Genomic DNA, 26,554 nt, shown 5'->3' with positions numbered 1-26,554 from the left:
TCAGCAGAGGAGAAGACTGTAAGGTTCTTGTATCAGTTCGAACCCCAAGAGCAAGCGAGCCAACAGACAACACAAGGCGGTGTGGAGCCACATGTTGTTTTAATGAGCGCCTGGGTGCAGGTGGGCTGAGGCCTAACATGGCGTCAGCACCAAGTGAGGATGGGGCAAAAGTTTTATAGTTTCCTGTAAACAGGAAGTGTCCTAGTCTGATGTAACTGCTGCATTGTACCCGGATGGCCTCTTTCTCGATCTCCAGGGGTATGCGTCTTCCGGCCAGCTCTCTTCCTGCTTCTGCTATCTTGCGGGCGCACGCTGATGACACAAGTGACCTTGGAGCTGGGCCTGAGAATGGAGGGGCTACTCATCCCCTTAAGCTTTCAGGCCCGGGGAGAATCTTACAGAGGTGGATGCAGGAGATGTTCAGGTCCATCCTGGTGGCCCCAGTTTCCAGCTTTAGGAAGAGGGCAAGCGGCTGGGTGGAGCTGCAGGTTCAATCATCTACATAACTAATTTCATTTTCCCAGCAGCCCTGAGAAAGGGGTAGCATGACCTATTCTATTTTTTTTATTGATTCAAAATCGTTGTGCATAGTTTTTGGGTGCATGTGTACCATGCATAGTAATCAAATCAGGGTGATTGGGGTACCCAGTTTTGGAAGTGAGGCAGCTGAAATTCAGGAAGGCAAAGTCACAGCCACAAGCTCACACAGCAGAGAGGTGACACCATGGAAACAACCCTGGTGCGATTCTAGCCCAACCTTCCCTTGAGTGTTCCCTGCGGATGCAGCTGGGCCAGCCCCTGGAGAGTCAGCAGGTTTGCCAACCACAACCCTGGGGTCTGAGAGCCACACCTGGGCAAATATCCTCCCCTCAGGCTATGGGGTACTCTGGGATGACAGAGAGAGTCCCCACCCTGTCCTCACAGAGGAAAGACAAGAGACAATGCAATCAGGGATAATGAGGACCAGGAGAAAATGAACCCCGAGCACCTGATCCCAGCTCAGGATCAAGGAAGGCTGCTTGCAGGAAGTGGCCTTTCTGCTGAGATAAGAGGATGTCCAGGAGTTTGTTGATGAAGAGTCAAATTCCGTAAAATATTTGCAGAGGTTTGTTCTGAGCCAAATATGAGTGACCATGGCCCGTGACACAGCCCTCAGGAGATCCTGAGAACAGGTGCCCAAGGTGGTCCGGGTGCAGCTTGGTTGTATACATTTTAAGGAGACATGAGACTTCAGTCAAATACATTTAAGAAATACATCATTTCAGTCCAGAAGGGTGGGACAACTCGAAGGGTGGGGGAGGGCAGGTGGTTCCAGGTTATAAGTAGATTTAAAATTGGTCTAATTGGCAATTAGTTGAAAGAGTTATCCATAGAAAGGAATGTCTGGATTGTGATAAGGGGTTGTGGAGACCAGTGTTTTATTATGCAGGTGAGGCCTCCAGGCAGCAGACTTCAGGGACAATAGACTGTAAATGCTTCTTAACAGACTTAAGGTCTGTGTTGATGTTAATGCCGGAGGGAGGGGTAGAATGAGGCATGTCTGACCCCCACTTCCCATCATGGCCTGAACCAGTCTTTCAGGTTACATTTTAGGGTGCCCTTGCCGAGGAGGAAGTCCATTCAGATGGTTGAGGGGCCTTAAAATTTTATTTATGGCTTACAAGTTGGTCAGGAGAAGAATAGAGAGGGAGGAAGGTGGGGTATTCCTGGCAGAGGGTCAGGGTGGGGAGTGGCCAAGAAGTGAGAGAGGGCATTTGCAGCCATTGAGGAATGACAAGAAGTCAGGCTGCCTGGGGTAGAGTTGGGGACAGGAGAGTAGACAGGGTTCAGAGGGGTCGGAGGTCAGAGGGCACCATGTCAGGTCAGGGTTCAGAGGGGTCGGAGGTCAGAGGGCACACATGCTGGAGGAACTGCAGGTTCTCAGCTTGAAGGTTCTCTGATTTGGGGGAGAGTGGCATGACTAGATTTCAGTCATGTGGAGCCCCCAGCCAAGAAGCCAGCCACACCAGCAGAGGATGATGAGGACGATAACATGGACCTGTTTGGCAGTGACGGTGAGGAGGACAAGGAGGCAGCACTGGTGGTCAAGTCCTCCATCCTCCTGGATGTCAAGCCTTGGGACAATGAGACGGACATGGCCCAGTTGGAGGCCTGTGCACGCTCCATCCAGCTGGACAGGCTGGTCTGGGGGGCCTCCAAGCTGGTGCCCATGGGCTACGGTATCCAGAAGCTGCAGATTCAGTGTGTGATGGAGGACGACAAGTTGGGGACAGACTTGCTGGAAGAGGAGATCACCAAGTTTGAGGAGCATGTGCAGCCTGTCAACATCACAGCTTTCAACAAGATCAGAAGCCTCAGTGTGTGTGTGCACATGCACGTGAGGCCCTGCCATGATTAAAAACTGAGACGGGCAAAAAAAAAAAAAAAAACTCCCTGGCTCTGCTGACGGCACCATATCTCAGTTCACTTAGGCAGCCATAACACAAATACCACAGGCTGGGTGGCTTCAACAACAAACTTGTATTTCTCCCCGTTCAGGAGGCCAGGAAGTCCAAGATTGAGGCACTGGCAGGTTTGGTGTCTGGTGAGGCCGGCTTCTGAGCTCATTGTGTCCTCACATGGTGGAAGGGGCGAGAAAGCTCTCTGGGGTCCCTTTTATAGGGTGCTCATCTCATTCATTGGGGCTCATCCTATTTGTTGGGGCTCCACCTTCATGACCCTCACGCTGGCGTTAGGATTTTCACATATGAATTTTGGAGGGACACAACATTCCATCTGTAGTACCCACCATCACTCAGCAGCAGGCCAAGAACCTAGAAGCCTCCCCGGCCCTTCACCATCACGATGGCCTCGGTGAAGGGCAGGGCCTCTGGAGCCAGCCTGCCTGGGCCTGAATTCTGGCCTCACGGCTCGCGCAGACAATGCTCATCTGTAGAGTGAGGATGATAACAGTACCCAGCTCTTAGATCAGAGCCTGGAAGGTCATCAGACCTACGGGGCAGCTCTGAGTGTGGACAAGTCTGGGGGACTCCACCCCCAGAGGTACCCCTGAATCCAGCCTCTCCACACACCCACACAGCACCCTGCATGCCAGCCACCACCATGACACTCTGGATGTTGGGGAGAGCCTCCCCCAGGCCTCCATATTCTCGCTATTGCCCTCCTCAACCCAGTCCTCCCAACCACAGCCTCGGGCTCTCTTTCAAAATAAGCAAGCCAGAGAATCCTATCCCGGCTGCAGCACCCCTCATCCAGACTGGAATAAACTCCACACTCTTCCCAGGCCCCTGGGCTCAGGACCAGAACACACCTCCTCTGTCCGCCTCCTGCCTCTCCCAGGTGCCCACTGTGCCCCAAGTTCATGGAGTCCATTCCCAAGTCAAGACAGTTCCACTGCCGGGGACATTCTTCTTCACTCCCAGGAAGAACTTTCCTGACACCCAAACCTGCGCCAACTGCGATTCTCCCTCCCTGTGCCCCACCGTGTTTCGTCCCGGCTCTTGCCACCCCTCGGTCCTGAATTTCCCATCACTTCCTAATCAGCATGTTCATCCCCCGACATGGGTGACATCAGGAACACAGATTCTGTCAGTCTTGTTCTCTGTCCCACCCCCAGCTTTGAGAGGCCACAGCGCTGGGAGCACAGAGAGCCTCTAAATGGTTTCTGAGAGAAATAGCACCCATCAAGGGACAGTGGTGATAATTTGGGTGTAAGATAGTGATGATGACTTGGGTGAAGTTTGTGTCCTTCACAAAGACATGTTGAATTCCCCGTACCTGGAAATGGGACTTTATTGGAAATAGGCTCTTTGCAGATTTATTAAATTAAGATGAGTTCATACCCAATTAGCGTGGGCCCTGATCCAACAGCACTGGCGTCCCTCTAAGAAGCGGAAACAGACACAGAGGCGGGCAGAACACCAGTGACAACAGAGGCAGAGGCTTGAAGTGATGCGTCTACATGCCAAAGAGTGCCAGGGATGCTGGCAAGCCCCAGACGCTGGAAGACAAAAGGAAGGACCCTCCTGCGGAGCCTCAGGGAGAGCCAGTGCCTGGTGACACCTGGATTTTGGACGTCTGGCCTCTAGAACTGCCAGAGAACACATTTTTGTTGTTCAAGCCACAAGGTTTGTGATATTTTATTTCTGCAACCACAGGAAACTAGTCCAGGTCCACCCTTCACTGAGATCAGAAAGGAGGGGGACAAAGATGATTTGTAGGGATGGGAGGAGGGGAAGAGAGAGGATCCAGCTTAGACTGTTTGGGGAGCAGGAGACACCCTGCAAGGGCACTGGGAATGCTGCTGACCACACAGATCAGGGCTCAGGCTAAACGCTGGTGAGAGACAGGTCTGGAGATCAGCCCAGGGTGAAGTGGCTGAGCTCCTCAGCCGAGAGCCACGTGCAACACGGGGCCAAGCACAGAGGCTGCCTGCATGGGACTCTCGCCTCCACTGGGGCTGAGGATGTGGCATTGAGTGGAAGCCTCAGTAACCTCAGCAGTGAATCGAACGAGATGCCAGCACCCCCTGCAGGGCGACTATGAGGATCAAAGACTTCATCTGTGTCCATGCTGAGCATGCAGACTCACGCACAGCAAGTGCCCCGTACATAGGACTTGCCATTGCCCCTGTGATGATCACAATTTCCCAAACAGAGAGGCGCCAAGACAAAAGTGATCTGTGATCAAATATTTGCAGCATCCCCCTTTGGAAGTCCATAGCACATATTTGCACATTAAAGGCTCTGAGAAGTCCTGCAGGGAAGACACACACTCAAACCTGAAGTCTTCAAATACAATTTTCTTTAGTGCAGGCTGTACCTGAGTCTTTGAAGTGCTAATGCCTATTGGGATTCTTCAAGAAGAGGAGTCACAGACAGGTTAAGTGACTTGCCCAAGTCACACAGCTAGCCAGTCTCACTGGGGTGGGGAGCCGGAGACCTTACACTTTGCTGCCACTAGGATGCCGGTGCCTGGCATGGCACAGTGCTAATTTGGGATGGATTCCATTGCTCCATGAGTTGGGAGGGGGAGAGGTGTGCAAAGGGAGACAGAGAGGGCCTCCTACCCGATCCCATTTTTCTTGGCTTCATTCCCCAATGACTAGCAGGTGACTCCATCATCTGGTGCAGTGTACAAGATGCTATTCTGGGCACACTGGGACATTTGCCGCTAAGCAATCACTCTTGGACTGCAGGTGTCACAGTCTACTCCGCACCCCTTAGTGCTCCCCCTGAAACATGAGATATTCACTCGCTTATTCTCTGAGATTCTGTGGGCACCTGCACCTGCCAAGCACAGCACTGGATGCCGGGGGAGAGGCAGAGATACAAGGAGAGCTTAGCAACTCTCTCCTTGGGTCTCTCCTGCGTGGCTGAGCAACTCTTCAATACCATGGAGGCCCCTGTTTCAGAGGGGCCTCTTGCTGAGCACCTTCCTGAGGGTTTGATGGAAGAGAGAAGGGGCAGGACTTAGAGGGTGGTGGGTGACCGAGGCACCGGGGGAGGGGCTCTGCAGGGCAGTCAGTGACGCCTCCCCGGGGGGTCACAGATGAGTCAGTCGCATGAGGGTGGAGGAGGTGTGGGAGCTGCAGGCAAACAGGCGATCAGGAGAGGAGCCCAGCGACCTGAGAACCAGGTTTGCCAGGGAGGCTCAGGGAGACTCCTGAGGAGGGAGCTGCCCTGGTTGGGGGTAGGGGGTCGGAGGAAGCGAGGACGTTCGTGAGGCAGGTCCCACCCAGGCCAAATTTCCTGCTCAAGACTTTGACCTTCCAGTTGACAGTGCTTTGGAACTCAGGAGCCCCTGGGGGAGAAAGATTCCTTGGGATTTCTCAGGCAGGGAAGACCCAATGTCTGGGAGCCTGGGCTTTGGGGTGGGGATAGACCCTGACGAGCTGTGTGACCTGAAGCAAGTCCCTTCGCCCCTCGCGAGCTCAAGCTTCCTCTCTAAAATGGGCAGCACAAAACAATCGGCTTTAGCACGTTAGAGTTGGTGCTGGGATTTAAAAAGATCATGTGGGTGAAATGCCTCGCATGGCTCCTGGCCCAGGCAGGGCTCAGACAGCAGTGACCTACCAGCCGCAGAGGCAGTCGTGGCTACTGATGTGTTGGAAAGGGAAGGCAGCAAGCAGAGGGGGACACATGGCTTCACCATTCATTTATTCTCAGCCAACTGTTTAGCTAAGAGTGTGGGCCATGTGCCAGGCATGAGAGCTGTGCAGGGGCAATGGTAACAAACGCCAGCAATCCTAACTCCTCCCAGCACAGAACGCCGTCCAGGCTGGGTGAGAGACACTAACCTAGCTGTCACACCCACAGTCAGGAAAGGATCAACACCATCTAGGCAACAAATGCAGGCTTCTGCCATGATGGAGAGAGTAGAGTCAGAGAAAAGCACGTGGACCGGAAGGCGTTGGGAAGGCCCTGGAGATGGAGCTGATGGGGACACAGAGAAGAGAACACAGATGAGCGTGTGGCTGAGGGCCGACACGGGCAATGGTGACAGGTCAGCCCGGGAGGTGGGTTCAACAAGAGGATGAGCTACATTCCACACACGTTGAGTTTAAGGAGCTGCAGGACGTCCAGTGGGGGCTGCATAGAAAGACATAGCGGCATCTGCTAATGAGGAGAAGCACTCTCCACGCCACCCTGTCCCCCCTGCACCAAACCCCTCTCCGTGCTGGTGTGTGGTGTACCGCAAAGTGGCACGCAGCCCGTGGGAGTGTCGGATTGTCATTCTGAGTCTATTTCTCCTTGTGGGCTGCCGCACAGACAGTAAATGATGCAATTCTGCTGGGGCGCAGACGGGTGAGCTCTGTTTCCACAGCAATGCTGGGCTGTGCTTCCAACATCTCTCTCTGGGGATCTTCCCACAGCAGAAAAATGCGTGGTAAGTAGAAAAGCTTGCTGAGAGACCTCAAGGCCTCCACTTCAGTCTGCAACTTGGAAACTTCCAGCAGACCAAGAGATAGAAGAGACAGGAGAAGGGTGAGAAGAAGAGGGGGCCAGGAAGGGACAAGGAGGCAGGATTGGCCTCCTTGAGCAGCTCTCGTCTCTGAAATGGTGAAAGAACGGCCGTCGAAATGCAAAGCTCTGCTCTAGGAGTAGAAGCGAAGGCTGCTGAGGCATCATTCACCACTTACCTGAGGGACAACCGATGCGTGGAATAACCGAGCGATTCTCAGGAGCTCCTGCTCTCAAGCCACGGACTCTTAGGACTAAAGTCATGTTCCTGGGACTCGATGCCATTAGCACATCCTGCCCCAAATCAAACCCTTCTCCTGTACAGGTTTCCAGACAGCCTTCCTCGGTCTCACCCTCAGCTGTCTGTGAGTCACCCCTACCCACTGCAGCTCCCCGTTGGCAAATGACGAAAAATTGGGCCACATTATCACGGATACCACGTGCATCAAGAAAACAAATTAAGTCTAACATTTGTGCGGTGACAGCTGACCTTTGCATGATTAAAATGAATGGCTGCAAAAGGAGGCAGAATAAAGATGTTTAACTTAGTGAAGCAAGCTTGGAAGCCTGGGGATGTTTCTGGGCAAACCTGAAGGTGAGACAAAAACAGGGTCACACTGCCTGCTGGCACCTGTTGGCCAGAAGAGGGGCCACTGTTGGGGAGAAGGGCCGGGGCATGGGCTTCCAGACCAAGAGAGAGAGCATGGCCTCCCCTGGCCCTGACCTGGCCCAGCTCAGCTGGGAGCACCAGTCTCTTCCAGTGCCTGCATCGAGCTCTCTGCTGTTTCATCTCCCCCTGTTCTCATCGCTCCTGTTAGTTCAAGATTTGTCACTGTATGCCCCGGGACTGGCCTAAGTGGTGGCTTCATAAATATGGAAGGGGCCTGGTGCGGTGGTTCATGCCTATAATCCCAGCACTTCGGGAGGCCGAGGTGGGTGGATCACTTGAGGTCAGGAGTTCAAGACCCACCTAGCCAACATGGTGAAATCCCATTTCTACTAAAAAATACAAAAATTAGCCAGGCATGGTGGTACACACCTGTAATCCCAGCTACTCAGGAGGCTGAGGCAGGAGAATCACTTGAACCCGGGAGGCAGAGGTTGCAGTGAGTCAAAATCATGCCACTGCACTCCAGCCTGGGTGACAGAGTAAGACTCTATCTCAAAAAAGAAATAAATGAAAATAAATAAATGTGGAATGAATGAGTCAAAGCTCCTTAAGGATGGTGTGTATTTCTTTTGCCTTCTTCATGGGACCCAGCCTCCAGCTGGGCAGACGTGACCCCTCTGAGATCTGCAGAACCTGCTTCTCTCTCTAGCAGGCTCTCCTCACACGGCCATATGTCTTGTGGGAGGTAGACAGACCTGTGCTCCTTGAAGACAACGACTGTGTCTAAGTAATTATGTATTTTTCTCCACGTAACACTGCACTCATATAGCTGGTGATTCAATCATTGTGTTAAGTGAGCAGGGTATAAGCGATGTAGGGGTCTTGCTTCTCTGATTTTGGGTGGAGTTCATGTGACACTAGCAGGAATCATAAAGAAGGCACGGATCTGGTTCTGTGTGCAGAAGAAGCATGGAATGGTTGGTGTTGGACTGCAAAGAGCTCAGGTGACCCACTGTTCAGCAGCATTTCCCCATTCTTCGTCTTGGCAAAGTCTTCTTCATTTTCTGTATCTGCAGAACTTCCTTGACAATGTAGACAGGTAAGAAGAATGAATAATTGCTTCAATGGCTGAAATGTGTTGAGCAGTTCCTATGGCCACATATGAACAGTGTATGAGAGAATATGTATGAGAGAATACATTCCTGTGATTTTTAAGCTGCCCAGCTCAAGATACTTAATTATGACCACCTAGGAACCTAACAGGGGCCACATATGCTTAGCACACGCCACCTGACCAATCATCCCAGCAGCCCCAGGAGGTGGAGACCTGTTACAAGTTGAATTGTGTCCCTCCAGAAAGGTATGTTAAAGCCCTAACCCCCCCATACCTTTCAGTGTGACCTGATTTGGAGCTAGGGTCTTTGCAGATGCAACTGAGTTAGGAGAAGGTCTTCAGGTAGGTTCTTATCCAATATGACTAGTGTCCTTCTAAGAAGAGGAGACAGACACACAAGGGGGAGTTGGCCATGTGACCACAGAGCCAGTAATTGGAGTGATGCTACCACAAGCCGAGGGATTCCAGGAGCCACCAGAATCTGGAAGAAGCAAGGAAGGACCCTCCCCCAGAGGCTTCTTAGTGAGCATGGCCCTGCCCACACCTTGATTTCTGAGTTCTGGCCTCCTGGGCAGGTGAGATAATAAATTCCTGTGATTTTTAAGCCATCCAGCTTGTGGTACTTGACTATGACAACCTAAGAAAGTCATAGAGGGCTATTATCATCTCAATATTGCTGTTGAAGAAACAGACTCTGATGACTAATATTGAGTGTCTACTTGATTGATTTGAAGGATGCAAAGTATTGTTCCTGGGTGTGTCTGTGAGGGTATCGCCAAAGGAGCTTAACATTTGAGTCAGTGGACTGGCAGAGGCTGACCCACCCTCAGTCTGGGTTGGCACCATCTAATCACCTGCCAGCGAAGCTAGAATAAAAGCAGGCAGAAGAATGTGGAAGGAATAGACTGGCTGAGTTTTCTGGCCTCCCTCTTTCTCTTGTGCTGGATGCTTCCTGTCCTCGAATACTGAACTCCAAGTTCTTCAGCTTTTGGACTCTTGGACTTATACCAGTGGTTTGCCAGGGGCTCCTGGGCTTCCCTACTTTCAAGGTTTTGGGACTCAGACTGGTTTCCTGGCTCCTCAGCTTGCAGATGGCCTATTGTGGGACTTCACCTCGTGATCGTGTGAGTCAATTCTCCTAATAAACTCCCCTTCACATATACGTCTATCCTATTAGTCCTGTCCTTCCAGAGAACCCTGACTAATACAGGCTCAAAGAGGTTAAGCATGTTGCCCAGGGTCACAGAGCTAGTAGGTTAAAGTACACATGCAGAAGCCCATTGCAAAGGCAACGGGCGTGCACCTGCCACGTGAGAGAATCACCCACCGTGCCCTCCAGTCGCCAGACTGTATCTGACCCATGTGGATGGAAACCATTCTCATATAGATGGTCCGCTTCCATGCCTCCCTAATCCTGGAAAGTAATTGACTTCTTCTTAGATGAGTAAAGAACTTTGTGCACATGCACTTGTGTGGTTACAGAGAGCACCGTTGGGAGCTGCCGTGAAGCCGTTTTGTTTTCTTCTGCAGTGGCAGGCTGTCGTCTGCCATGTCTCCTGGCATCTGCCACTAGCAGGCTCTTTGATGTCAGATTTTCTTAGGACCGAAAATGAGCTCACAGAGCCTTTGGGTAATTGTGTATTTATAAAAACATCATAATAAGAAGAATAACAACAGCTAACATTCATGTGACAGTTACTGCCTCAGTTAATCCTCTGAAGCCTGCACAGTAAATGGCACTGCCCATGGTTTGACAAGGGTGAGACAATGAGGTTCCAGAACGCGACGTGCTCACATCCACACAGCCAGCAGGCAGCGGGACTGGATCCCAAACCGAGAGGCCTCAAACTTTTCTGACCTCAAGGGCAGAGCCGGGGTGGCCGGGGCACTCAACAATCCTGGCAGGTCTCTGGTTTGCAGAATTGGGGTGTTGCGCACTGAGAAAATGATGGACAAGGAGATCTTCAGAAGAGCGATCACAAAGCCGCTGGCGGGAGACTGAGGACGCAGCAGAGTGCTTCTTCCAAATGAGTACGGGACACAGACCACCATCCAGCAGACAACTCCAGGCCCTGAGCCCTGCCAAGGATGGCTCCTGCATCTCAGGGTGGGAAACACTGTCATCTCCAGTCTCCACCCTCTTGTCCACCCCTCTTTATGAATCACGACCTCAAGCCCCACAGAGAGCATCTTAACACCAGCAGCTCCTTGAATGCCACCAGGCTCAGCATACTCGGTGCGGTTGCATCAGCTCACAGGCTGTCAGCCTAGCACTGCTCGGCTTAATTTTAAGGCTGTGATTTATGTGCAAAAAGCAGTGGTTTCGGAAGGCTTGGAGGAGTTGGGGGAGGAGCAGGATGGGGCAGAAGCCAACAAACAGCCTTCCACTGGGGGATCTGGAATGGAACCAAAGGAAGAGTCCAGGGAAGCTGGACCCTCAGGAAAGGGAAGGTGCCTGGAGGAAATGCCAGGCTAGGGCAGGGAGGAAAAGTCTGAGAGAGGAAGGGGAACCCAAGTGGGAGGCAAGAAATGTGGTCAGGCCCAGGCCAGGGGGGCAGAGGACAGTCACCAAGACAGCAGCAAAGACAGACAGACACCTGGAGAAGGAGCAGAGTGGAGGTGGTGACTCCACACCTTTCCCCACCAAGCTAGGCACTCGGAGCAGCTTGGGCGTGAGTTGCGACACTGCTGGTCCATCGGGTGCTTTTTTACCACTTAGAAAACAGTGTCCCCCTCTGGGCAGATAGCCCCTTCCAGGGCCTAAAGCTGAGCAAGGTGGGTAAGGGGTAGAATCAGCCAGGCGACCTGGTGCAGTGTACAACCTGAGCAACTGCCCTAGGCTGGGACCCCTCACCAGGCACAGGCAGGGTCTTTAAAGGGTTGGCCCGAGAGAGGAGGAACATTAGCCCCGAACTTGAGGAAAGCCTCAGAAAGGGCAAAGAGCACCAGCTGGGCCTCCCAGTGCAGAGCTCCAGATGTGAAACCTTTGCTAACCTCCAGTGTGGATGTGAGTGACATGTTTTCAGAAAGAGTTCTTTGCCATGAATAATTCAACCGAGAATTCCAGGGTAAAGACAGGCTTTTCTGACTCTTCCCTGACTAGTGTTAATCTGTCTGGAAACATTAAAGATAAAATGTTGGCACCTGCAGAAACGTGGCGGGTTCTTGACGTTCTAAACAAGGATGTGCTGGCGAGGCGTGTGTCCGCTCAAGGCAGCGCCTCCGCCATCAAAAGACTTCACATCTGGAGCAACGTGATAGAGAAGAGAGAAGACAGTTAACGGCACTAAAAAGTCGGTTTGCCAAGAACACAGGACTAAATTACAGATCATCTCCCAGGAAGGCTCCATACTCAAGGCCTGAGAAGCAGGAAGGGGGCTGGGTCTGGAAGCGTTTGTTTATTTTTTTGTTTGTTTGTTTCAAGGAAACGGATTGGCAGAATAATCAGTCCCGATGACAAGATTTCATCTGATGCACAAACTTTCAAAGAAAGTTTCTAGGCTTGGGAGGTTTGTGTAAATTAATAGCTACTCAAGGGAAGTACAAGGAGGGGCAGTCTTGGGCTCGACCACAGGTCTTAGGTACATTTTCCAGCAGGGTGGGCTGCATTTGCAGGGCTCGGTGCTCCTTCTGAAGGCAAGTGACCCTGGGAGGCCTGCTGGGGTCAGACCCTCACGGAAGAACAGGCATGGCTGGAGGACCTCAGAAGCCGTCTGGGAGGAACGGGAGCCCAAAGGAGCAGTCAGGGGCAGGAAAGCATCTCTGTCCTACAGAGCTGGCAGGACGGTATCTCCCAGGACTTGGGGCTCAGGGACACGGTCCAGTGGAGTTACAAACAGGTGCAGGGAGGAGAAGGGTGCAAAGGGCATCCTAGGTGCAGAACCTGATGTGAGAGGGAACAAGGATATTTGCAGAATTGAGCTTGGTGTGTCTGAAGCTGCAGAAGCCAGAGCTCCAGAGCTGAGACCAAAGAGGCAGAGCTGAGAGGCCATGAGGGCAGGGCCTGGGTGGGGCCCTGCAGAGGGGCTGTGCAGGGGTGGAGCTGTGCAGGGATCCTGCAGGGGTGAGAGGTGCTGGATCCTGCGGGTCATGCTAAAGGTTTGGACTGCGACCAGCAGTCAATGGAGTTGCTGAAAGGGAATAAAGCGGGCAGCACGTGATGAAATGTGTATTTCTGAAAGGTCACTATAGCTTCAGGGTAAAGGATGGTTTGGAGCAAGAGACAGACAGAGGTGGCTGGGCTAGAAGATTGTTTCAAAAGTGCAGACAAGGTGGAGGGGGGCTAAGTGAGCCAGTGCCATGGGGGCAGGGGTGACAAAAGGTGAATGCATTTGGAACATATTGAAGACACAGACTCCACCATGGCAGAGAAAGTTTGGAATCCAGGATGCCCCAAGGTGAAGCTTAATCAAGCAGATTGACGCCATGGCCTGGTCCTGAGCTGGGGAGCCCCAAGGGAGGCATAGGTGCAGGAGAAAAAAAATAACAGTCACTGAGCCAGGTCACCCCTGAGGTTCCTAGAGAATGCCAGGTAGAGGTGGCCGACAGGTAGGTGTGTGGCTTCCACATGTTAGCCATGGACAAAGAAAGCAAGCAAGAGAAGACACCTGTGGGAGGAGGAAGATGGTTTGAGTTGAAATATTTGTGGCAGGAGCCTGTTGGTTTTGTGATGCTTCTGAGAGAAACAACCAACTGATGAAGGCTGCTCCACCCTGGGGTCAACCCTCTTAGAAACGCAGGGAACAGCCGGAAAACAAGGCATGAAGAGAAGTGCGAAAGCGCTCATGGGGAGGGCAGGAAAAGCCGGGGGCCACCAGGAGGCTGAAATCCATTTATTTTCCTTTAGAAACTAGTGACAGCTTTTCATGTTCTAGCATTCTCTGCAGAAATTCAGGAGCGTGTCCACATTCCCCATGCATGCACTCTGCCTGTCGGAAGACGCTGAGGGAAAAATAGTGAAAATGGAAACAGAAGCCACAGTCCTCTGTTTCTCCTACTTCAAGACAAGTGACAGAAGGAGCCCTGCTCAGTCACACAGCAGCTCCCATTTCCACCTGCAGCACCTCCAGACACCAGCCCCAAAGGAGATGCTATTGTGTTTTGTTTTGTTTTGTTTTGCTTTTTTCAGTGCAATGCCTTTTCTTCGTAGTTTAACCTCTCTCCACCCAACAAGGAGGACCAGAGAACAGGTGTCACTGCTCTTGAGGGAAACTCACAGGACACCCTTGAGAGCAAGTCATCCTCACAGCCTGCCAAGAAGTCATCTCGCTCCATAGGTTAAGGTGCCCACGTCTCCGGGGTCCCCTGAGGCCTTCGGGAGGAGCGACATTTTCAGCCTTAGACATCATCAGGTACGCTTCAAAATGTGGTTGAAAATGAAAAGCCCAAATCTGAGTTGGTTTATCCCATCAGCAGTGGAAGACCAGGATTCCAGGATGGATCAGAAAATAGGAAAATCGAGTTGGGACTGGGGGCACTGCCTGGGGAGCCTGGGTGGAGGGCAGCACCTGGGGACGACCCTAAAGGGGCAGCGTTGACACTCAGCCACTCTGTGATTTTCCTCCAACCCTGTCTGCCCCAAAACGGTGCCCCTGGAAGAACGTGAAAAGTGGGCTGCCTCAGTACCTTGATGCTCCCAACCACTGGTCACCCTGGACATTCAGCCACAGAGACCTCAGCCCGCCCTGAGGTACTTGTTCATGTTTAATCGTGCTGAGGGATAGAAAGTTCATCCTCATGTTGCACTGAATAGATCATTAAAGCTATTCATTGCCAGGCATAGTGACTCATGCCTGTAATCCCAGCACTTTGGGATGCCAAAGCAGGAGGATTGCTTGAGCCTAGGAGTTTGAGACCAGCCTGAGCAACAAAGTGAGACTCCTTCTCTACAAAACAAATTTAAAAACCCAGCTGGGTGTGGAGGTGTGTACCTATAGTCCCAGCTACTCGGGAGGCTGAGGCAAGAGGATTGCTTCAGCCTGGAGGTCAAGGCTGCAGTGAACCAAGATTGCACCACAGCACTCCAGACTGGGTGATGGAGTGAGATTGTGTCAAGAAAGAAAAAAGGGCCAGATGTGGTGGCTCACACCTGTAATCCCAGCACTTTGGGAAATCGAGGCAGGTGGATTGCCTGAGGTCAGGAGTTCGAGGCCAGTCTGGCTAACATGGTGAAACCCTGTCTCTACTAAAAATACAAAAAAATTAGCTGGGCATGGTGGCGTGCACCTATAATCCCAGCTCCTTGGGAGGCTGAGGCAAGGGAATTGCCTGAACTAGGAAGGTGGAGGTTGCAGTGAGCCAAGATTGCACCACTGCACTCCAGCCCAGGCGACAGAGCAAGACTCCATCAGAAAGAAAGGAAAGAGAGAAAGAGAGGAAGGAAGGAAGGAAGGAAGGAAGGAAGGAAGGAAGGAAGGAAGGAAGGAAGGAGAGAGAGAGAAAGAAAGAAGGAAAGAAAGAAAGAGAGAGGAGGGGAGAGGAGGGGAGGGAAAAAGAGACCTTTTCATCATCAGTGTGCTTCAGGAGGCACGTTAAATAATCCCCCTCCTCACAACAGCCCTTCCCGTAGATATGATCCCCATTTAATAGAAGAGAAAGGTAAGACTGAGAAATAATGACAGTCCTTATCTCTGACCTTGTCCCTGGCACTGTCTCCTTCAAAACTCACAACTCAGAGTCATCATCCCCATGTTGCAGTTGAGGAAATGGAGGTGTAAGAGACAGCAGGGCTCCACAGCCCATCCCAGCACACAGCCGAGATTCTGGTTCAGATCACTTGGTCCTGGGGATGCCTTGCAGTCAATCTCGGCATTCCCAGCCTCAGGCATTACTTCTGTCTTATGGCTCCGTCCGTCTTCCACACACCCCACAAGCATTTGGATCACAGTTGCGTCCTTCTATCTCTGCTGTCCCTGCGTTTTGCTGGGTGAATGTCCCCGGGTAACCCTGATCCTTGTTTGAAAGGTAGGTTCCAGGGCTCAAGGGCACAGGGGCAGGGACAGAAAGAGCGAGAGAAATAGAGAAAGAGAAAGAGAGACAGAGAGATCCGGGCTGAGGACCACCGGTGTCTGCCTTATCTAATCTTTGCGGGATCACCCTGAAAGCTGGGCGGCAGCCCCTGGTCCAAAACTGAGAAGCTAATACAGATGTCCCTTCTCCCTCCAAGCGGCCCTTTGGAATCTCCTGACCTGCATGAGTGACTTGAGGCAGAGACAGAACCGAGATAATGAGCCAAGCTGCTGTCTGGGTAAAGTTTACTGTCATTAAGCACTATCTCAAGAGTGTCTGCAATGTACACACACACACATAGTGTGTTCTCTCCATTCTCTTACGCAGTGTGCCCTGACCCATCTACTTACAGCAGACTGTCTGTCACTCACCACGGAGCCTCCTGGGGGCCCATGGAGAGCGTCCCCTCCCGCATGGCTCATGCCCCGCCCCCATGAGGTTTGGTGGTGGTGGGTGGGACTCGGGTCGCCGGACACCCAGGGGCCTCTCAAGTTGGTGAACCCCCATCCCCACCCCCAGCACCCCCCATATGCACCTCTGCTCCAGCTGTGTGGTTCTGTGTTGCAGACGGAAAGAAACACGTGCAGCCTCATCCCAGACGGCTCCGGGCAGAATTCCAATTCCGGTTTCTTGTCAGTAACGAGCGAGAGAAACCCGCGCAGATCCCGGCTCCTGCAGCCGAAACGTCCAGGGGCAGGCGGGGCGCCCCCCAGGTCCCCGGGCTTGCTCTACTTCCTCTGGGGTGCTCCCCACCCGGAACCCGGACAACAGCACCCAGGGCAGCACAGCAGCGAGGGCCGTTTCCGCAGGAGAGGCTCCCCCGAGGTCTGGACTGTTGCGAGGGAGGCACCCGTGCAGTTGCCCTCCTGGGAGGGCTGTGATCGTTCATTTTATCATCAGCTTGGCTGCGCCACGGTGCCCATTGCTCGGGTGTTTTTTAGATGAGATGAGCATTTAAATCTGTGGACTCGAGCCGGGCGCGGTGGCTCACGCCTGTAATCCCAGCACTTTGGGAGGCCGAGGCGGGCAGATCACGAGGTCAGGAGATCGAGACCATCCTGTCTAACACGGTGAAACCCCGTCTCTACCAAAAATACAAAAAAAAATTAGCCTGGCATGGTGTCGGGTGCCTGTAGTCCCAGCTACTCGGGAGGCTGAGGCAGGAGAATGGCATGAACCCGGGAGGCGGAGCTTGCAGTGAGCCGAGATCGCGCCACTGCACTCCAGCCTGGGCGACAGAGTGAGACTCTGTCTCAAAAAAAAAAAAAAAAAATTCTGTGGACTCTGAGTGAGGCAGATACCCCTCCGTAATATAGGTGGGCCCCGTCCCATCCGGCAAAGGCCTTAAGAAAGAAGACTGGAGTCCTCTGAGGAGAAGGGACTTCCGCTTCCAGCCTGCAGATTTCAGACTCAAGACTGAAGCATCAACTCCTCCCTGGATCTCCAGCCTGCCGACTTACCCAGCAGATTCCAGATGTGCAAACGTCATGGTCGAGTGAATCATATGACAATTCCTTAAAATCGATCAAACGATCTCTGTCTCTGTCTGTCTCTGTCTCTCTCTCTCTGTTGAGAAATAAGAGCCTGGACTCACTCTCTGGAGATCAGCTGCCCCCTGCCCCTACCCGTCTCCAGTCCCCCCAGAGGCTTCTGTGTGGACCCAGAGGGCACCAGCAAGACCCTGCAGAGGGTAGACATGACCCTTGGCCTGCGTGGCCACTGCCCCCAGAACTCAAACCCAGCTGGACCCAAGGCCATGGTCCCTGTGCCAGCCCTGCACACCCAACCCGTGCCCACCACAAAGCCCAGGCTGTCAGCGTACACTGTCCACTCTGCACAAGGGGACCCCTGCCCCTCCTCAGAACTGCTCTGAGGTCAGCGTCAGAGCCCTGCCTGCGCCATGGGGAAAGGCACCTCTTCCCCCAGGAGGCCAGACTCGCTCCATCTCCTTTTTTTTTTTTTTTTTTTTTTTGAGACAGAATCTCACTCTGTTGCCCAGGCTGGAATGCAATGGCGAGATCTTGGCTCACTGCAACCTCCGCCTCCCAGGTTCAAGCAGTTCTCTGCCTCAGCCTCCCTAGTAGTGGGGATTATAGGCGCCCACCACCATGCCATGCTATTTTTTTGTATTTTAAGTAGAGATGGGGTTTCACCATCTTGGCCAGGCTGCTCTTGAACTCCTGATCTCATGATACACCCTCCTCGGCCTCCCAAAGTGCTGGATTACAGGCGTGAGCCACCACGCCCAGCCTGCTGAGTCCCGGCAGGGCTCTCCAGGGCTCACACCCTGGTCCTTCTCCATCATTATTATTGCAGGCATTGCTCCTGCAATCAAAATTTAAATTCTCATTATCGGGCCCACCCCTTGGTCACTGCCCTCCACTCTCTTCCCATTCCTTGGGGGATACTCTTGCTCCTGGGGCCAGATATCGAGGGTCCCAGTGTGGGTGGCTTTGAAAAGACATGGAATGAGTATAAGAACAGCAAACTGTTTCCTCTCATGATTAGCAAAGGGTTTCAAAGCCCTGTGGAGAAAAAAAAATAGCCCACCTTTTCCTTGGGTATTTTCTTTCCCTAATCCCCAGTTCTCAATGGCAAACCCCTCCAACCCTCTCCCTGAGTTATACAACAATTTGGAAATACTTTAAATGGTTAGAAAGGAGGGATCCAAAAGGTGCAGCTACTGGCTGAATAAGATGAAGATGATTCTCTAGGGCTAAAGACAGGAAGACAAGAGCGTGAACAAAATGAACAGCCCTGGCTGATTTTCAGGGAACCTCCTGGAGGGGCAGAGCCAGTCTGCAGCCGGAGCTGGGAGCTGGCCGGGGAAGCACCGCCAGAAGTGCGGGTCCTCCTGAGATCAGTGCAGGGGAGGGCAGTTTGTTTGCTGTTGGAGGAGAGCCCCTTTGTCCCTTAGACTCACCCGTGAGTCCAGCGGCTTCAGCAAAGGCAGAGTGAGAACAAGAGGGAGGGCACAGAAAGAGTCAGAACCTTGAGCCTTTCTGATGTCTTCTTGGTTGTGGGGCACAGGTTGGGGAGATCTTGGAATCTGATTGCCCTCAGCTCAGAGCCAAGGATGCAGACTAGAGCGAGGGATGGTTTGCCTCTCACTTTTCTCATCTCCGCCGACGTGTGATCCAGGCCCTCATGCCCACCTCGCAGAGCAGCCGTGCTCAGCAGCACATGGAGGGAAAGGTCTGTGTTCCGTATCTCCAGGTGTAAATATCCGGGGGTTCCTACCTGGGATCTTCCAGCCAGGAAGCAGCACAGAGCATCTTCTACAGCCTGAAGAAGAGGGGCCCTCCCTCTGGCCCCACTCTTGCTGACAGACCAGCGGCCCGCTTCTTAGTTAGTTACTTCCCGAGCACAGCCTGTCTGACCCTGACTTCCTAAAAAGAAAGCTCGGCTACTTCCAATTAGATTCCTGATAGGTAATGCAAAGCCGAGAGAGTTTTCATTTTTTGAGACAGAGTCTCCCTTTATAGCCCAGGCTGGAGTACAGTGGCAAGATCTCAGCTCACTGCAACCTCCCGGGTTTAAGCCATTCTCCTGCCTCAGCCTCCCGAGTAGCTAGGACTACAGGCATCCACCACCACACCTGGATAATTTTTCATTTTTAGTACAGATGGGGTTTTACCACATTGCCCAGGCAGGTCTCAAACTGCTGGCCTCAAGTGATCCACCCGCCCCTTCTCCCTAAGTGCTGGGATTACAGGTGTGAGCCACAGCCCCCGGCTCCAAGAGAGTTTTCAAACAAACTGTGGGACCTTCCAGAGTTCCCCTTAGCTGTGCTGACAGCAAACCCTAAATGCAGCAGGCAGAGACAGCCCCTCCCATGTTGGGGCATTGGTGGGGGAAGGGATGAGAAAAAAAGAGCCTCGGATCAATATCCCTGCTGGGAAACAGGTGGATAAAAGTCCCAGCCTTGATCAGGAGAGAAGAGAAGCAGAGGCCACAGCGGGTCCTCAGCTGCTGTCTTTGGAGGGTGTCGGTGATACTATCAGATGCAGGCTTCTGGTGTGAGCTGCATCACCAAGACATCACAATGAAACTTACAATTCCTGCACCGGTTCATGGTGCTATTGACGAGATGGACGGGGAATAACCCAGTTAGAATGGACCTCAGACAACTTCACATCCCGAGGATCTGTCCCCCGCTACTTGGAGAGGAGAAGGGAAGGGCATTTCCACTGGGCACATCCTTATGGGATGGGGGTCCCAGGCCATCCCTGCCCTCCTGGCTGTCGCCTCCCTCCCAGGTGTCCTTCCTTATCCAGGGGTCCCAGCTCTGGAGGAAAATGAGAAGGGACATCACCTGCACTAGCAAACCTGCAAGAAACAGGCCATGTTATAGGCTGAACTGTGTCTCCCCCCAGAAAAAAGAAAAGTGAAGTGTCCTAACCCCCGGTACCTCAGAATGGGACGACAGTTGCCCATCCCGCCTTCCAGCATTGTTGCCCGTGCTGTTTTTAATGCTGCGACCTCCACTGGGTGCTGGCTGTGCCAAGGCACCCTAGGCAGTAGCCCTCACCTGTCCCCAGCCACTGGGTCCTGATGGCGCTTCCCCTGAAGCCTCTTTTTTTTTTTAAGATGAAGTCTCACTCTGTCACCCAGGCTGGAGTGCAATGGCACAATCTCAGCTCACTGCAACCTCCACCTCCCAGGTTCAAGTGATTCTCCTGCTTCAGCCTCCCGAGCAGCTGGGATTACAGGCACCCACCACCATGCCCAGGTAATTTTTGTACTTTTAGTAGAGACAGGGTTTCACCATGTTGGTCAGGCTGGTCTCGAACTCCTGACCTCCAGTGATCCACCCGCCTTGGCCTCCCAAAATGCTGGGATTACAGGCGTGAGCCACCACGCCCAGCCCTGAAGTCTCTTTATGGAGTCTTTGCTGAGAGCAACAGCCCCGGATCCTAGGTCCACTCTGCAGAAGACCTGCCTCAAGGGGCACCCTTCTCTCCTGCAGGAAAAACGAGCACCCACAGCCAGCTGCCATTGTCACAGTTCCTCCTCTGACCCGCCTGCCCCTCTTCTGTGCCTTCCCAGGACTCTGTGATGACATCAGCCCCACCCGGATCATCCGGAGTCCTCTCCCCGTCTCAGCATCCTTTACATCATCACACCTGCAAAGTCCCTTTGGCCACGTAAGATCACGTATTCACAGGTGCCAGGGATTAGGATGGGGACATCTTTGGGGACCATTATTCTGCCAATCGCAGGATCAAATGAGGTCACTGGGGAGAAAGGGCTGGCAGAGGAGAGAGAGGCCTGGAGGCCTGGGCAGCACAGGTGAGCTTAGGGCAGGCGCCAGCCCCAGACAGAGCCCTTGGGTAGGGGCAGCCTCAAGAATGATGGGCCTTGGAGGCCACGAGGGAGGAGTGACATCATTAGCTGAGATGCAGACTGACCAGGGGACATGGCAGCCTGGTGACAGTGCTGGGGGAGCAGTCTTAGTGGAGGGTGGGAAGGCAGCAGGAGGGAGCACGTAGAAGATGAAATAGGAAGAGTGGCAGGTCCAGGCACCTCCTTAGAGAGCATTGTGGGGGTGCCACTGTGGAATGGGTGAAGCTGGGGGTCTCTGCTTTCATTAGACACTCCCACACTTGTCTTGGTTCCAAAGACACTGCCTGGTCTCTGGGCTCCGTGCAAGGACCTGAACAGCTCCCAGCACTCCCCTCTGCCCCCTCCTGCCTCCCAGCTAGAATTCGCGAGAGCAGGCTCACCATGAGGGAGGGGCCCGTGAGCACAGCCGTCTCACCCGGCCTCCTGCACTGGGACCACAGCGGACATTAGGCCTGGTCGGAGTCAGGAAACAGTCTCTGAGCTCTTCCCTGGCTCCAGAGGCCAGGACGCAGGTGGCCACCTCAAATGTACCTATGGCCCTGGGGGTCAAAACCCCTGGGGTCTCATCTGGCGGCATCACACTGGATGTGGCCCACGGGAAGCTCTCCCCAAACCCTCTTCCCCACTGGGCTGGTGCCTGCTCACAAAAAGCCCTTTCAGAATCTTCCTACTGCCCCAACACACTCAAGAGGCAGCTTCCAGGGTCCACAGTCCAAAGTGATTTGCATGCGATTTGTTCCAGCAAATGCCTGAGAAGCTATTTAATATCTGAGGAATAGATTAGGACCCAGGGTCATGGAATGTAAATATTCTAAATATAAATACTTTGGGCCAGGCACAGTGGCTCAGGCCTCTTATCCCAGCTCTTTGGGAGGCTGAGGGGAGCAGATCGCTTCAGCTCAGGAGTTAGAGACCAGCCTGGGCAACACAGCAAAACCATGTCTCTACAAAATTACAAAAATTAACTGGGTGTGGTGGTGGGTGCCTGTAGTCCCAGCTACTTGGGAGGCTGAGGTGGGAGGATCATCTGAGCCCAGGAGGTTGAGGCTGCAGGGAGCTGTGATCGTGTGACTGCACCCCAGCCTGGGTGACAAAGTGAGAGGTTTTCTAAATAAATAAATAATAAATAAATACTTTGATCATGGAAAATAGTTGCTATACGACAATCACAGACAACCGAAGTGATTTCGTAGAATCCAAGTCTTTTTTACCTAATCTAGTTTTTTTAAGTATGGAGTCTGACTCTCCTTGAGGGCTTCTGTAAAGTCCAACCTGTGACTCACAAGTGAGACAATTGCATCAAACGAAACATCAGGCTGGGTGCAGTGCCTCATGACTGTAATCCCAGCACTTTGGGAGGCCAAGGCAGAAGGATCACTTGAGGCCTGGAGTTTGAGACCAGCCTGGAATAACATGGCAAAACCCCAGCTCTACAAATAATTTTTTTAAAATGTGGGCAGGCCCAGTGGCTCACACCTGTAATCTCAGCACTTTGGGAGGCCAAGGCAAGCAGATCACTTGAGGTCAGGAGTTCGAGGCCACAGTGAAACCCCACCTCTACTAAAAATACAAAAAAATTAGCCGGGCATGGTGGTGCACACCTGTAATCCCAGCTACTCAGGAGGCTGAGGCAGGAGAATCGCTTGAACCTGGGAGGCGGAGGTTGCAGTGAGTCAGGATGGTACCGCTGCACTCCAGCCTGGACTACAGAGCCAGACTCCGTCTCAAAATAATAATAATAATAATAATAATAATAATTAACCCAGCATGGTGGTGGGCGCCTGTGATCCCAGCTATTCAGGAGACCGAGATGGGAGGATGGCTTAAGCCCAGGTGGTCAAGGCTGCAGTGAGTTGTGACTGTGCCACTGCACTCCAGCCTGGGCAATGGAGCCTGTTAAAAACTAAATAAATAAATAAATAAATCTTTTAAAAAAAAAATAAATAAAAGAAAGAAAGAAAAATTAGGTGACAAGACAATAGTGTCAGCCCTGAGTGCACAGGACTGATTTTTTCCCAAATGACTGTGGTTGAGAGTCTAGGCAGCAGCCACCTGGAGATGTGACTCAATAACAAGAGAAAATCTTCTAAGTGAACTTTTCCTTCTTATTGAGATAGAATCATTGAATTTAGCGCTTTCTTCTTAAAAGAGGAGGTGTTGTTTGTTTGTTTTTCCTTTTTTCCTATTGTGCCAAGGCTGGAAAAGTGGAATCCTAGCATCTTTTATATGGGAAAGGAAATGTTAGCCACTGGCCCTGGTGCCTGGTTGACTCCTAGGAACTGAACGCTTGTGTCCCTCCAAAACCCATATGTTGAAACGCTAATCCCCATGGTGACGGTGTGAGGCACTGAGGCCTTTGTGAGGTTAGTGTTAGATTAGGTCATGAAGGTGGAGCCCGCATGAATGGCGTGATGGAGAATTTTCTGTGTCAACTTGACTGGGCTAACAGGTATCTGTCCAGGTTGCTGGTAGAGCATGATTTCAGGGTGCGTCTGTGACTGTGTTTCCAAAAGCATTTGAGTCAGCAGACTGCATTAAGAAGATCCATTTCCACCAATGTGGATGAGCGTTACCCAGTCCATGCAGGATCACGAGGGCACAACAGGTGGAGAAAGGGCAATTTCATTCTCTCTTTCCTCTGGAGCTGGGACACACATCTTCTGCTCTCAGACATTGGAGCTCCTGGTTCTCAAGCCCCACACCCCCTGAGATGATGCCTCCAGCCCTTGGCCTCACGCTGGGGGTCACACCATCAGCTCCCCTCATTCTCAGGCCTTCAGACTCACACCGAATCACACTGCTGGCTTTCTTGCATCTCCAGCTTGTAGACGGCCTTCTATGGGACTTGTAAGCCACCATAGTCGTGTGTGCCAATTCCCCTCATAAATCCCCTCTCCTGTTTATCTGCATTTCTCCTATTGGTTCTGTTCCTCTGGAGATCCCTGACTAACACAAATGGGATCAGTGCCCTTATAAGAACAGGCATGAGAGCACTTGCTGCCCCTCTGTCTCCACTCTCGGCCACGTGAGGACACAGCAATTAGACAGCCCTCTGCCCTCACCAGAACCGGCCATGCCGGTACCCCAACCTTGGACTTCCAGCCTCCAGGACTGTGAGACATTCATGTCTGTTGTTTGAGTCCCCAGTGTACCACTCTGTCACAGCAGCCTGAGGCTGAAGCCATGGCCGACCACCAGCATCTGGTCATGCCTCATTGGTCCCCCAGAGCAGCTTCTGGCCCAGAGCTCTGTGAACAGCATCCTGCTTCATGGGGATGCTAGTGCCTTTTCTGTTCCATGCACTGGGCTGCTGGGTTAGGCTCTCCCACCTCCCTTGAGGACCCCATGAGCAGCTGTGCGATAACACACTGGGAGAACCGGAACCACCGTGAGAAGTGGGCCGGGGCAAGACGTGGGAATGTCGGGGTAGGGCAGGACATCCAGGTTGCACCACTGCCGATGTGGGGGGAGCAGCAGAAACAGCCCAGAGCAGCAAAACTGCATCAAGAGGGGGTATTGGCACTGTGAGGTGGCTTCCCTTTCCCTAGACCATCCCTGATGGTTCCTCTGCCTCCTGGTCCCCAAGCCTGATGCCCAGCCCTGGGGCAGGGACTCTGGTCCTCACCCTACCTTCGTCCTCATGTCTCCCTGGGAGCCAAGTGCAGAAGAAGCCCTGCCTCCCCTTTCCAGGGGGTCTTGGGAATGTGGACAGTTCTCTCTGGTCCCCAGAGTGCAGGTTCTGGGGCAGTTGTTTAAGAAGGGTGAGAAGCAAAGGCCGGAATGAACGCTCACCCTGCGCTGTAACATGGGGACTGCATGGTGGGGGCTGGCATTGAGTCCCCACTCCTCTTTCACAGGCACCTTGTTCCTCAGTCCCCCTCAGGCAAATCCCAGCCCTCCTTTCCCAACAAGACACTGCTCTAAAGGACAGTGACTCAGGGCCCCGCTGCCACGGGCTGTCGCATCCCCATCACCCCTCGTGTCTGCTATCGCTCCTGGATTGGGGAGGGGGCCTGTCACTGGAGCACTGGGCTCAGGCTTTCCTGGCATCCTGGGGGAATGACACCAAGCAGCTCAGAGGAGAGATTTTCTGTCTCTGGTTCTGCGTCCATTCTGAAACACGCTGCGAGTAACATGAGAGGCAGTGTGCAGGTGCTAGGGCCTATGGGTTACAGGGAGCTGTGACCAGCTGGGAATTTCTGAGGCATCCCTGGGCGTGAGCCCCACAGGGACATCACTGCCTCTGTAGAAAGGTGGAGAATCGTGTCGAGGGAGGTTGCTGGGAGCATGCAAAGGCCCCGCATCCCGTGGGGGGTAACCAGGACCAAGTAAGGGAAGCCCCACGCCCCCACGGGGAAAGGGAGGCTGATGTTTCAGATCCCCCACAGTGTGCTAAGCACGCGTAGGCTTTCTCACTGAATCCTCCAACACAGTGACTGCACCTTATCCATTGTCTCGTATGTTCCTGGCACTCAGCGGGGTGAGTCCCATTTTTCAATCTTCATGAAAATCACTGTGAAGAACCCACTGCTGTGCCCTATTTTCTGCTGAATGCACAGAACTCAACAGCCTTCCCTGAAGGAACACGTGGACCCAGGTGAGTGCACCTGTAGGCTCTGCCCCCACCCCACAAGTCCCCTACAGTCCCCTGAAGCTACAGGCTGGATAGTGTCTCCTGAGGAGTCACTACCTTGGAGCCCCAGCCAGACTCAGAAGAAAATCGAAGGCTGGGGGGCCGGGCGCAGTGGCTCATGCCTGTAATCCCAGCACTTTGGGAGACCAAAGCAGGAGGATCACGAGGTCACAAGATTGAGACCATCTTGGCTAACACGGTGAAACCCCGTCTCTACTAAAAATGCAAAAAATTAGCCGGGCGTGGTGGCGGGTGCCTGTAGTCGCAGCTACTCAGGAGGCTGAGGCAGGAGAATGGGGTGAACCCGGGAGGCGGAGCTTGCAGTGAGCCGAGATCACACCACTGCACTCCAGCCTGGGCGATAGAGTGAGACTCCGTCACAAAAAAAAAAAGAAAGAAAGAAAAGAAATTGGAGGCTGAGTGTGAGGTTCTAAGAAGGCACCACTGGAAAGCGGAGTGAGACCCTTCAGGTCATGTGCAAAGGCGTTTATGATGAAAATAATAAAGGAAATTGAAGACAACATTCATTCCCCTCAGCTTTTTCTTTTTTTTTTTTCTTGAGATGGAGTCTTGCTCTGTCACCCAGGCTGGAGTGCAGTGGCGAAATCTCGGCTCACTGCAATCTCCACCTCCCAGGTTCAAGCAATTATCCTGCCTCAGCCTCCCGAGTAGCTGGGACTACAGGCACGTGCCACCGTGCCCGGCTATTTTTTTGTATTTTTAGTAGAGATGGAGTTTCACCGTGTTAGCCAGGATGGTCTCGATCTCCCAACCTCATGATCCACCTACTTTGGCCTCCCAAAGTGCTGGAATTACAGGCATGAGCCACTGTGCCCGGCCTCACATCAGTTTTTAAAGGAAAGAATCCAGGCCTTAAAGAG

General features: G+C 52.7%; 1 pseudogene, besides 4 other annotated features; it reads left to right on the top strand.

Moving 5' to 3' along the window:
* Positions 1,199–1,776: an enhancer, noted in NCBI's record as "NANOG-H3K4me1 hESC enhancer chr1:4236159-4236736 (GRCh37/hg19 assembly coordinates)". NCBI's record gives its function as "activates a minimal SCP1, AML or CMV promoter by ChIP-STARR-seq in naive H9 embryonic stem cells {active_cell/tissue: H9 hESC(naive)}" and the evidence as "EXISTENCE:reporter gene assay evidence [ECO:0000049][PMID:30033119]".
* EEF1DP6 (eukaryotic translation elongation factor 1 delta pseudogene 6) lies at positions 1,976–2,412 on the top strand (annotated as a pseudogene).
* Positions 4,397–4,898: an enhancer, noted in NCBI's record as "NANOG-H3K4me1 hESC enhancer chr1:4233037-4233538 (GRCh37/hg19 assembly coordinates)". NCBI's record gives its function as "activates a minimal SCP1, AML or CMV promoter by ChIP-STARR-seq in naive H9 embryonic stem cells {active_cell/tissue: H9 hESC(naive)}" and the evidence as "EXISTENCE:reporter gene assay evidence [ECO:0000049][PMID:30033119]".
* Positions 24,793–25,292: an enhancer, noted in NCBI's record as "H3K4me1 hESC enhancer chr1:4212643-4213142 (GRCh37/hg19 assembly coordinates)". NCBI's record gives its function as "activates a minimal SCP1, AML or CMV promoter by ChIP-STARR-seq in primed H9 embryonic stem cells {active_cell/tissue: H9 hESC(primed)}" and the evidence as "EXISTENCE:reporter gene assay evidence [ECO:0000049][PMID:30033119]".
* Positions 25,293–25,794: an enhancer, noted in NCBI's record as "H3K4me1 hESC enhancer chr1:4212141-4212642 (GRCh37/hg19 assembly coordinates)". NCBI's record gives its function as "activates a minimal SCP1, AML or CMV promoter by ChIP-STARR-seq in primed H9 embryonic stem cells {active_cell/tissue: H9 hESC(primed)}" and the evidence as "EXISTENCE:reporter gene assay evidence [ECO:0000049][PMID:30033119]".

This window comes from Homo sapiens, chromosome 1 (genome assembly GCF_000001405.40).
Source record: "Homo sapiens chromosome 1, GRCh38.p14 Primary Assembly".
NCBI lineage: Eukaryota > Metazoa > Chordata > Mammalia > Primates > Hominidae > Homo > Homo sapiens.
This window is presented reverse-complemented; position numbering and strand designations above follow the sequence as displayed.